Below are 12439 nucleotides of genomic sequence, written 5' to 3'. Positions count from 1 at the left end.
GGGATGTACCACTATGCCCGGCTAATTTTTTTGTATTTTTAGTAGAGATGGGGTTTCACCCTATTGGTCAGGCTGGTCTTGGGTTTCACCATATTGGGCAGGCTGGTCTTGGGTTTCACCATATTGGGTAGGCTGGTCTTGAACTCCTGACCTTGTGATCCGCCCGCCTCGGCCTCCCAAATTGCCGGGATTACAGGTGTGAGCCACTGCGCCCAGCCTAGTCCTTCCAGATTTAAAATACGATTTTATGTGCCCTTGAAAGAGCTCATGGAAAGAGTTAAATGTTTTAATCTAAACCACATAATTATATAGCTTTTAAATAATACTGAGATATAAAGGACAATAGAAATCTTGTGTGGAGAAGGTGTGCATGTGTGTGTTTGTGTGCACACATACCGTAAGTGAATCTTCCAGTGTAACTGACTGGAAGAATTCATTCCTCCTCACTTCATCCCCTGTTCCCTAAAACAATGTAGGTTTAGGAGATCCCCAGACCATTCCATTTCTGCCTTGCATTCACTTAGTAGGAAGACTTGAATTAGCAAAATGATTGCAAGATTCTAGAAAACTTCTGGTATGCTAGGGAGTATTTGCTTTAAGTAACCTTACATTTTGAGAAATATTTTATTAGAGTCAATAGACAGGGTCCCTGACCTAAAATGAGTACCATTTGAACACCTCTTAGAGCTCAGTGTGGCTTCAGAAATGCCTCAAGATTTGGCAGTGTAGACTAAGTAGGCCTCTTTTGATGACATATTTATCTCTGTGTCCCCATGGTCTTTAAAATCTTGTGGTTAGGTCTTATTAAACCCTAAGTATGGGCTCAGGCCATCTCAGTCTCTAGAAACAGTCTTGGGAGCCCACTAGATTTTCCTCACTTCTGGTCAAATTCTTTCCATAGTAAGCCATTTGATAGGCTTCTGTGGGTCTCTTCAGTGACTCTTCTTGATGGACCCGATGACATTTGATGGCAGTTTCTGTCACAACAAACCAGCCAGTTACTGCCACTTGGATCTTCCTTATTGCTAGCCTGCTCTCTTTAGATTGGTAAGGACCATTTAACTTTGCTTAGATGTACCTTATTCTGCTTGTTATTTACCTCCCCTTAAACTGGAGCAACATTCCTTAGAAAATCAAGCCTCTGGCCATAGACTCTTTACTGTTGGAATTATATATATGCTTATAATTGAAATTGTATTATTTTAAGTTAGCATTTTCCAGAGTTGACCCATGGAAAATTACCTCTAAAGGATAATCAATTTTAAAGGCTGTGTATTTGGGGGTGGAGTGGAGATTCCTAATGAAATTAGGAAGCCAGGTATGGTTGCTCAAACCTATAGTCCCAACTACTCTGGAGGCTGATGTAGGAGGATTGCTTGAGCCCAGGAGTTTGAGGCTGCAGTGAGCTATGGTTATACCACCGCACTCCAGCCTGGTCTTAGAGTTTTACAATGGTGTGTGCTACAACAAAGAAACTGTTTACCTTTGCTAAAACCAGTGTTTTCAAACCTTGCCTGACTACTGAACTCATTTTTCTATATTACATTTTCCATATTACATTTTATTGTTGACTGTCAATATAATAGCAATGTTTAGATTTGTGATATTTATGAAGCAACTGTTCACAGTATACATACATAGAGCACTGTGCTGACTTTCCCATGGTGATTGTGATCTATTATATACCTTCGCTGAGTATTCACCTCATGGCATACTTTCTCTGTAGTGAGTTTAATGTAGATACTAAATTAGTTGTGTCACTTTTTTTCTGAAACTAATCTTTGTGCCACAAGTGCCAGTTAGACAGATTTGCAGTGACAAGAACTTCTGAGGAGCAGTGTCTCACCTGTAATAAACCTGAATATTCTAGTCAATGCCGTAAACATGTTTTTAGGACTACTTAGAAATATTTATTTTTCCTCTTGATTGGGAAAGAGACAAATTTTATCTATTTCTTTTTACTTCTAAAAATGACTTTAAAAAGTTTAAATTCCACTATTATATAATGCTGATTGAAGTAATTTAAAGTTGCCTAAATTAAAGAATCCTAAGACCTACCTGCTATTTTCTTAAGTTTCCTACTAATTATGTGATCCTGGTTAGGTCACTTAAATTCTTGCTGATAGTTCCTCTGTGACATTTGCCCTATTTTTAAAATTAGATAATGAATAAGAAAATAAATATGTCTAATATTTTTGGGGAAAAAAGAGTCCTGCATAATATCTAAAATTTAGAAGGAATTATAGTTAATAAAGGAGGGATAGGTTGACTTTGTTCCAGTAAAAAGTATTTAGTTTCATTTTTATTTTCCCAGCCCTGAATTTGGCATGAGTAGTGCTGTGATAATTTCACAACAACAACAAAAAACTCTTGAAGGAATTTCTCACTGTGTTCTATGCTAGTAGAGAATTTGTTCAAATGCTGCTGAGATTGCCCAGGCACAAATTGGGCACAGTCAGAATCATAGGTTTCATAAAGTTTTTAAATTTTTTTTTTCTAAGTAAGCTAATTGGCTGCCCTAATTATCAAACCCACAGTTTTGTATTGTTCAGGTATACTCACGTAAGGAGATATGTTCCCCCAAACCTGTTTCTCATAGACTTCCGCATGATTCCACCATACATACACTGACATCCAGAACCTTAGAAATCATTACCTCTATATCTAATCTGTCAGCCTTTGGTTCTAACTCAAAAATGCAGCCCCAAATCTGTCGGATTTCTTCATTCCATCATTGCCACCTTAATCCAAGTCCCTGTCATCTGTCCTTTACACTGTTGCAGACCTCTTCAATGAGCTTCCTTCTCCGTTCCTCCCCACTATAGGCCCATCCTCCAGACAGAAGCCAGAGGTGGTTTTGTGTCAGTTTTTATGTAAATAATAATATGTCACTCCTTTGCTTAGAACCCTCCATTGACTTCCTTAGTACTTGAAAGAAAAATCTAACTCCTTCATGGTCTAAATGTCCTGGCCACTGCGTGACTCTGCCCTCCATAGCCCGTCCTCTCCCTCACCACCCTTGGACTGTATGGATCTCATTTTTGTTCCTCGAATGCATCAACCTCATTCCTGGAGATTTCAGCAATTACCACCTCTTCCCTCAACCCGTGACACTCTGATCACTCTCACATCACTCTGTTTTATTATTTTCCCACTATATGTCACTCTTTGAATGTATTTTTTCCTTAATTAGTCTGTGTGTCTTTCCTAAAAATATGGACAGTGTCTCCTTTTTTCAGTTTACTGCTGGTCCTAGCATCTGGAGTGGTGCGTAGATGTTTGTTGAAAATACAATTAAACAAAAGAACAAAAAGAAATAATCATTGTAATTGTTTACTATTTTGTTTCCTTTTGATAATTTTCCTTGTGATAATTTTAATATCTGATTTTAGCAAAATCAAATGAACCTCTTAAAATAACCTATTTAAAGAAACATTATTAAAGCATGTAAAGCCCAATAACTGAAATGTTTAATCCTTGATTAGTAGAGTCTTGTCCTGTAATCATGAGGTAAGCACTGGACACCTCCAATAACTGACAGTTGATTAACATATTGTAATCTAAATTATTTTCATGTTGTATATGCAGTCCCCAAATGCCTCATTTAAGCCAAAACTAGTATCCTTATTAGTATTATCAGCATTTCCACATAGTGTTTTAGAGCCTACCAGATACACATCAGGGAGATCATATATACTTGCCAAAGTATATTAGCCATATATAAAACGGAGGAAAGTAGGTGCTGTCAATGAGTAGCAGCAGCAAGGTTGAAATGGTGGGCATAAAAGAAGAACATATAATCCTTTAATTCTTCATGAGAGACTGAAGACATAGACTGCTTTGGGATTTAATTCATTAACATCTTCTGTCTGGAGTGCTCTTAAATGGATTTTTAAATAAATGAGTACTCCTGGCTGTTTTATGAAACAGTGGCAGATCCGTGAGGTCAGTGGGCAGATCTGTATTAACAAGGATGTGGATTTGTTTACATGGAAGCAAAGCAATAGGTTATAATTAAGAATCTGACTTACTCTAAACAGTTTGCATGTCTGAGCATAACATGTAAAAGATTGGAATTATTTGATTTCCAGATTGAAGACTATGATGTGATAGCTAGCATGATAGGAGCCAAGTGTAAAAAACTCCGGACCCTGGATCTGTGGAGATGTAAGAATATTACTGAGAATGGAATAGCAGAACTGGCTTCTGGGTGTCCACTACTGGAGGAGCTTGACCTTGGCTGGTGCCCAACTCTGCAGAGCAGCACCGGGTGCTTCACCAGACTGGCACACCAGCTCCCAAACTTGCAAAAACTCTTTCTTACAGCTAATAGATCTGTGTGTGACACAGACATTGATGAATTGGCATGTAATTGTACCAGGTTACAGCAGCTGGACATATTAGGTAAGGTTACAATATATAAATTTGTTTTAAATGTCTGTTTCCTTGACAGAAAAGCCAATCTCAGACTTTTTGTTAGGAAAAAGAAAATTTTTGGATACAATAAAAATTTTATCCTGATAAGATGGCTTGGTTTGATAGGAAATGCAAGATAGATCAGTTAATATAGGGAATAATTATATATGTACTTTAATAAAATAGTGAGGACAATAACAATTTTATAGTTGAAACTGTAAAAAACTATAACCATTAATTCTTGGTCTACTTGTAAGAGTGAGAATTTACATGAGCTGCGCTCTCTATTTTTATTAAGGAGAGAAGAAATTAATTCATTTGTATAATGAATTCAAGCTAGTTTTTTTTAAGTTTCTTAATTAAAATTCTTGATTAAGGAATATCGTGAAATCTTTATCCCTGATAATTCTAGCGTTTAGGAATAGTTCTACCCCAGGCAGATCTATTGAAAATCTTTTCCAGCTCTGGGATTTCTTGAATCCTTGCTGCATTCATCAGAAAGGAACCCTGTGTAATTTTGTTGCTTCTTACTTTTAGCCAGGGGTGCTAGCAGTGTCACAGTAGTTATCATTGTCCACACAATTGATACTTTGTGAAGTCATATCGCACTTGCACATTTTACATCAAATGCATGGTGAAAACCATTTTGAACTGGGGTGACAGAAATAGGAAAGTCTGGAGGAGCTGATTTGAAGGGGTAGGAGGTAGGAATGAAGATAGTGGGTAGGATATTGGCAAGATTCAGGTCCTAGATGCTAAATTGGCTGGAAAATTCAACTTTTACTTTTTTAACAGAACCATTTCAATATGAAGTCATGTTTGAAAAAATGATTTTAATTTGTAAAGGGTTATTTTAAGTTCATTACAAACAATAAATCATGGATGGATTCATTGTTAGCACATTATATAAATGTTATACTTAAGGTGTTTTGTTTTGTTTTGTTTTGTTTCCCTTAAATAGGAACAAGAATGGTAAGTCCGGCATCCTTAAGAAAACTCCTGGAATCTTGTAAAGATCTTTCTTTACTTGATGTGTCCTTCTGTTCGCAGATTGATAACAGAGCTGTGCTAGAACTGAATGCAAGCTTTCCAAAAGTGTTCATAAAAAAGAGCTTTACTCAGTGACTTAATATATGTTCTGTATTAAAATTAATGTGCTTTGTTGGGGTTTAATTTTGGGATTGGTTTTGGGTTTTGTTTTTAGTTGTTTTAATGGTAAGAATTAAGACATTTGTAGATTTTAAAGAAAAATATGAAATTGTCCATTAAATCAAGTAAAAATGTGCACAAATGTTTTCATAAAATACTGCAAGCACTTCTCTTCAAGAATATGAGTGGATATTATTTTTACCTTATGTTAATCAGTGATATGCTTTAGTCAATAATATGATTGATAAAAGAATAACATGGAATCATGCTAACTTATTTTCAAAGGAACACTGAGCAATAAAGTATCGTGGCATTTATGCAAAAAAAAAAGTTAATTTTTTACACCTTCATGTAAGGATGTCTTATTAAGCCTGTGACCTGGCAAGTGTTTTGTTTGGTATGTACAAAATGGTCAGAGCTAGTTGGAGAATGAGACATGCTTTTCCAGCTGTTTGGTTATTTCTCTGGATTAACTGTTCAACTGGAAAATTTTTAGTTTTTCTAGCCAGGTGTGGTGGCACACACTTGTAGTCCTAGCGACACAGGAGGTGGAGGCAGGAGGATTACTTGAGATGGGATTTTGAGACTCTAGTGTACTTATGATTGCACCTGTGAGCAGCCACTGCACTCCAACCTGGGCAATATAGCAAGTCCCTTTCTCTTAAAAAAAATTGTAGTGTTTCCACTTTTCTTCTGATATTTTTGTCTATTTCACTACTGGATAATGCCAATATAAAAATTTGGGTATAATCAAGAATAAGAGGTAAACTACTAAATAAAAAAAGCTTTCCAACTGTTAGAAGCAGATGCCTTAACATTTTGTGAAAGGTAAAGTTTTGAGGTTTCTGAATTATATAAAAAAACATAAATGTGGAGATATATATTATATATACACATTATATATACATATTATAGATAATATATATCCACATTTATGATTTTTAATATATACATGTATATATTATATATTATATAATTATATATTACATTTATATTATATGTAATGTACATGTATATATTATATACATATATATAATTATATATATTATATAGAGAGAGATATATATCTTGCTAGGGTGTGTGGATGCTGGAATATAACGATTTTGCACTTAACAGGACAATGAATTTTGTTATACTACAGTTAATATTAGTTTTGTGTTCAAAACAGCTGTGCCTTTTCATGCCACAAAATATTTTCTGTCTACTTTCTGAGTAGCAGAATTAATTCATTTTTTTAACAAAACGATGTATGTCAAGTGTTCAGTAGTCACATGAGGAGAATGCTTCCTTTGTGCCTGGCACTGTTTCTTGTGCTTTGCATTGACTAATTCAATTCTCACAACAACCCTGTAAGATAAATGCCATTACTTACCCCCATTTACAGATGAGGAAACTGAGGCAAAGAAAGATTGAAGAATTTATTTATGATCATACAGCTGCTAGTGGCAGAGCCAACATATAAACCCAGGCCATCTGGCTTCTGAAGCATTGCATTAAACCTGTGCTTTTAGGTGTTCAGGGTAGCTTCTGGCTCTAGGGCAGAGGTCAGGAAACTTTTTCTATAAAGGGCCAGATAGTAAATATTTTAGGCTTTGTGGGCTAAGAGGTAAAACTGAGATTGTTATGTAGATACTTAAATAACTAGAGAGAAATAAAATTTGCACGAAAATTTTATTGACAAAATTCAAAACAATAATTTAGAACAATTTTTTTTGTAATACGGGTTTACTAATGAAAAGAATTAAATATTTACAGGGAGGATCAAAGTTAATGTTTCGTGTCATTAAAGTTGATTGTAAGTACTCATTTGTTAATGCTGATCTGTAATAAGATTTTATGTATTTTACTTCTGAAAATTCCTTGCAGATAGGTATTGTCAAATACTTACATTAATCCATGAGAATATGATTTTTGTTGAGCATATTCATCACTTGAAAGGTTACTTCTTCTCTGGATATTTTCCTTTTAGCATGTTATTACATTGCAGCTTAATCACTTCCAATTGAAGACTAGGCAGAAGCTCCTCAATTGCACTGTTAAATTGATTTTGAAAAATGGAAATTTCCTTTACATTTGCAAACTCCAAAAAATACTGCAGGCACTATGGTGTGAGCTACAAATTTGTGTGAGAGTGGAGATCTCGCTTCTTTGTCTTACCTTTTGATAGCACAGGAAATGTGTAAAGCAGCTTGTTGTTACTTGTAATTCAAACAATGTTGTCATCAAAATGACTTATGTTTTGCTTGTAAACACGTTTTGCCTTGTAATTTTGGCTTGAATTCATTTCAAAATTTTATTAAGTCTTGAGCAAAAGCTAAATTCCAAAGCCATTCAGTGTTCCATAATAGTGATTGAGGACATGTCTTCTTTTTCAGAAAAATGTCAATATCAGCCCTGAACGCAAAAGCTCACAATAGAACTAACACTATTATGCCAATGTGGTTGGGCAAATCAGCATATTCATCTTCTGTATCTGACAAAAGATAACTGAACCATTGATGTTTAATCTATCAGAAACTATGAGAGCAAATGAAGTTCACCATTGCTACCAGTAGTTCAGTAATACAAAATTGAATCAAATATATCCCACAAAGTACCTGCTGATGAATAATACAGTAAATAACCATAGATTTTAAATACCTTCTTACCTTTTCACAGGCTTTATAAATTTGACAAACGTAATCATTTTGCTTCACACATTTTTAACACCACCAGTTGTAACACATCTTAGCAGATTCTACTTCAGGTTGCATGAAATTTGTGTTTTCTTCTTATAAAATATTCATGCTTGTAATTGTGCCACACAGATAATTCATAGAGACTAATTTCAGTCACTTCAACGTTGGCATTGACTTATCAAATAAGCAATAACTAGGCAGTGTCAGTAACATCTGTTGACTCATCAAGAGCCAAGGAAAACCACTCAGGGTCATTTGCCTTGTTTTTTATTGACTGTTGATGTTGTTCCCAGTGTTCTCAATTCTTTAAGCAACCATTCTTGCCAAAAGGCTAATTTAATAGTCTTAAGTTTACTTTGGACACAGTCCTTCAGCCGATAGAATCAAACACAATTTAGTTATCGTTAGTAAAATGTTTTCCTTGCTTGGTTAACATCTGAGTCACTTTGGCTGCAACTTTATTTTCATTTTTGAGTTTGTTTTTTTTTTTTTTTGAGACTGAGTCTCATTCTTTTGCCCAGGCTGGAGTGCAGTGGCACAATCTCAGTTCACTGCAACCTCCACCCTGCAGGTTCAAGCGAGTCTCCTGCCTCAGCCTCCCAAGTAGCTGAGATTACAGGCACATGCCACCACACCTAACTAATTTTTATGTTTTTAGTAGAAATGGGGTTTTACCATGTTGTCCAGGCTGGTCTTGAACTCCTGACCTCAAGTGATCCACCCACTTCAGCCTCCCAAAATGCTTGGATTACAGGCATGAACCACTGCATCTGACCTCCCTATAGTATTCTTTAAGAACAGCTATAATGACATTGCATATTAAACATCATACTCTGACATCTAATCTGATTTTTAAAAATTCATATACTAATGTGCCTTAAAAATGTCACTTCAAGTCTACTTTTCTTTTTTTCTCTTGTTTTGATGTTATGGGTAAGCACTAGTAATAAAAAATTTAAAAATATTGTGGTATGACAACATATGTGGCACTCAAAATGCTGGTAACTGCATTACTGCAGTTTTTAGTGTGCCAAGTAGCAGTGCAAAATGATGACAGCACCACATAAGTCTCCTTTGCATTTGTTCAACTCTGCCATTCTAATGTGAAAGCAATCATAGACAGTACCTAAACGAATGAGTGTGGCCATGTTCCAATAAAATTTCATGAGCACTGAAAGTTGAATTTTACATAATTTTGATGTGTTACAAAATACTACTGTGTTAGCCATTAGATTTTTTCAGCCATTAGAAAATGTGAAACTGTTCTTATGAGCTGGCTGGATTTGGCTTGTGGACCAAATTTGTGACCCCTATTCCAGAGTATTTTCGAGTCAGTTAATCCATGTTTGCCCATTCCTAATTTTATAAACCACATTCAAACCTGTTAATTCGCTGTTATCATTCTCATTTTGCCATTTAGATTTTAAAATGAAGAGCAGTGTTTTGTTAGAAAAAACAAAATGTTTACCATAACAAGAAAGATGTGTAGACAAGAAAGATATTTATGTAGACTCTTTGTTTGTTAAATTTTGAAGCCAGGTGATGCATTGTTAGCTTTGACAACTGACTTAAATTTTTGTATAATTATTTATCTTTGCATTTTGCTCAGGTAAATTATCTTCCCAGAGTCTAGAAATAAAGATATCCCTGATCCTGTTTAAGAGCATAAATAATACTCTCAATGTAAATTGTTTTGAAATAAGATCTTAAAAATACAAAATGTAGACAATTAATATTCAGGTGCTTACTTTTGAGCCAATATGTAGCAGAGAAAAACTAATTTCTCTGTGGCAGTATTTTTATTTTTGGCATTTCCCAGGAATTAACTGAAGACTAAAACTCATATGTGAAGTGTAATGATACTAATCAAAGAGTCAGTAAAATTTCCATTTGGCTACCATGTATGTGTGTATATATTTATGTATGTATGTGTGTGTTACATATTTGAGACAGGGTCTCACTCTATTGCCCCAGGCTGGAGTGCAGTGGCATGATCTCAGCTTACTGCAGCCTCAGTCTCCCAGGCTCAAGCGATCCTCCCACCTCGGCCTCCCGAGTACCTGGGACTACAGACACCACCACACCTGGCTAATTTTTTTATTTTTTATAGAGACACAGTCTTTCCATGTTGCCTATGTTGGTCTTGAACTCCTGGGCTCAAATAATTTTCCCACCTTGGCCTCCTGTAGTGCTGGGATTACGGGCATAAGCCACTGTGTCAGGCCCCATGTATGTTAATAGTGAATGTTTGGCTTTTCATTTGTTACTTTCAGCTATTAAAGGATACCTATTACAGACACAGGAATTTACATTTTCAAAGTCATTTTTGACACATCAGTGCTGCATCTACTTTTCTCCTTTTAGCACATTTGATATTGATACTTCAGAGAAACTTTTTTAACTACCCTTAAAATCTTGTCAATGACCATTAACTGCCAATCATCACCTCATTTGCTTTTTTTGACAACATACTACTAGAAACCTAGGCTGTGAGTGTAAAACCATAACTGTTAGAATCATTTTTTTGGCAATAGCTCACATTCTGTTAAGAGTCATTTGCTTTAATCAAAGATCATGATTTATTATATATTTTTTATAAGTAGGGATGGGGCCAAGATTATTCCTTTGGCACAGCAGTAAGTGTGCTCAAGATCTTTGCCTGTAAGCTTGAATATTTGGCTTAAATTTTGTGCATATGAATACTGTTAAAGGTATATTTGACTACATTTTGAAAGGAAAAAGGTAGTCCTGCTAAAATTGACATTTAGGGATATTTTAATCTATGTATTTGGTAAAGTAATTAGTGAAGTATTAGTTATAAAAATTTTAAGGAAAACATTTAAAAGCAAAATAGTCGTATCAGATAAATAGAGTAGAATACACTAAAGATAAAACAAGTCTCTGTTACAAATGAAGTTGTCTGTACAGACGACTGAGATATTTTAATTTTATTTACATAAAAATGCTGTTCAATATCTAATGATTTCTGTTGTTTGTATTCTGTACTTTAGAGTAATAAAATAAGTTTGAGTATCTCATTAGTTCACTTTCAAAATTGATCATTTCAGGGCACTGCTGAATATAATGGAAGGTTTGGGTAAATAGGTTTGCGTCACAGCCCCTGTGAAATTACCAGCCTAGATGAGGAGCCATCCGCCTGTGTACAGAACTCTTTTTTTTTTTTTTTTCATTTCTCTCTCTATATATTTTTTATTATTATTATACTTTTAAGTTTTAGGGTACATGTGCACAATGTGCAGGTTAGTTACATATGTATACATGTGCCATGCTGGTGCGCTGCACCCGCTAACTCGTCATCTAGCATTAGGTATATCTCCTAATGCTATCCCTCCCCCCTCCCCCCACCCCACAACAGTCCCCAGAGTGTGATGTTCCCCTTCCTGTGTCCATGTGTTCTCATTGTTCAATTCCCACCTATAAGTGAGAATATGCGGTGTTTGGTTTTTTGTCCTTGCGATAGTTTACTGAGAATGATGATTTCCAATTTCATCCATGTCCCTACAAAGGACATGAACTCATCATTTTTTATGGCTGCATAGTATTCCATGGTGTATATGTGCCACATTTTCTTAATCCAGTCTATCATTGTTGGACATTTGGGTTGGTTCCAAGTCTTTGCTATTGTGAATAGTGCCGCAATAAACATACGTGTGCATGTGTCTTTATAGCAGCATGATTTATAGTCCTTTGGGTATATACCCAGTAATGGGATGGCTGGGTCAAATGGTATTTCTAGTTCTAGATCCCTGAGGAATCGCCACACTGACTTCCACAATGGTTGAACTAGTTTACAGTCCCCCCAACAGTGTAAAAGTGTTCCTATTTCTCCACATCCTCTCCAGCACCTGTTGTTTCCTGACTTTTTAATGATTGCCATTCTAACTGGTATGAGATGGTATCTCATTGTGGTTTTGATTTGCATTTCTCTGATGGCCAGTGATGGTGAGCATTTTTTCATGTGTCTTTTGGCTGCATAAATGTCTTCTTTGAGAAGTGTCTGTTCATGTCCTTCGCCCACTTTTTGATGGGGTTGTTTGTTTTTTTCTTGTAAATTTGTTTGAGTTCATTGTAGATTCTGGATATTAGCCCTTTGTCAGATGGGTAGGTTGTGAAAATTTTCTCCCATTTTGTAGGTTGCCTGTTCACTCTGATGGTAGTTTCTTTTGCTGTGCTGA

The 12439-nt window shown here is 35.6% G+C and overlaps 1 protein-coding gene across 9 annotated transcripts in view; it reads left to right on the top strand.

The window, feature by feature from the left end:
• Nucleotides 1-11284, top strand: part of FBXL4 (F-box and leucine rich repeat protein 4) — a 79412-nt gene extending 68128 nt beyond the window's left edge. For all 9 annotated transcript variants that reach the window (NR_103836.2, XM_017010727.3, NM_012160.5 and 6 more), the window contains 2 exons: nucleotides 4092-4404; nucleotides 5378-11284. Coding sequence is in view for 8 of the 9 variants with exons in the window: in XM_017010727.3 (XP_016866216.1) it covers nucleotides 4092-4404; nucleotides 5378-5541 (477 nt within the window). In the remaining variant the exon portion in view is untranslated. The remainder of the gene's footprint in view (nucleotides 1-4091; nucleotides 4405-5377) is intronic.

This window comes from Homo sapiens, chromosome 6 (assembly GCF_000001405.40).
Source record: "Homo sapiens chromosome 6, GRCh38.p14 Primary Assembly".
NCBI lineage: Eukaryota > Metazoa > Chordata > Mammalia > Primates > Hominidae > Homo > Homo sapiens.
This window is presented reverse-complemented; position numbering and strand designations above follow the sequence as displayed.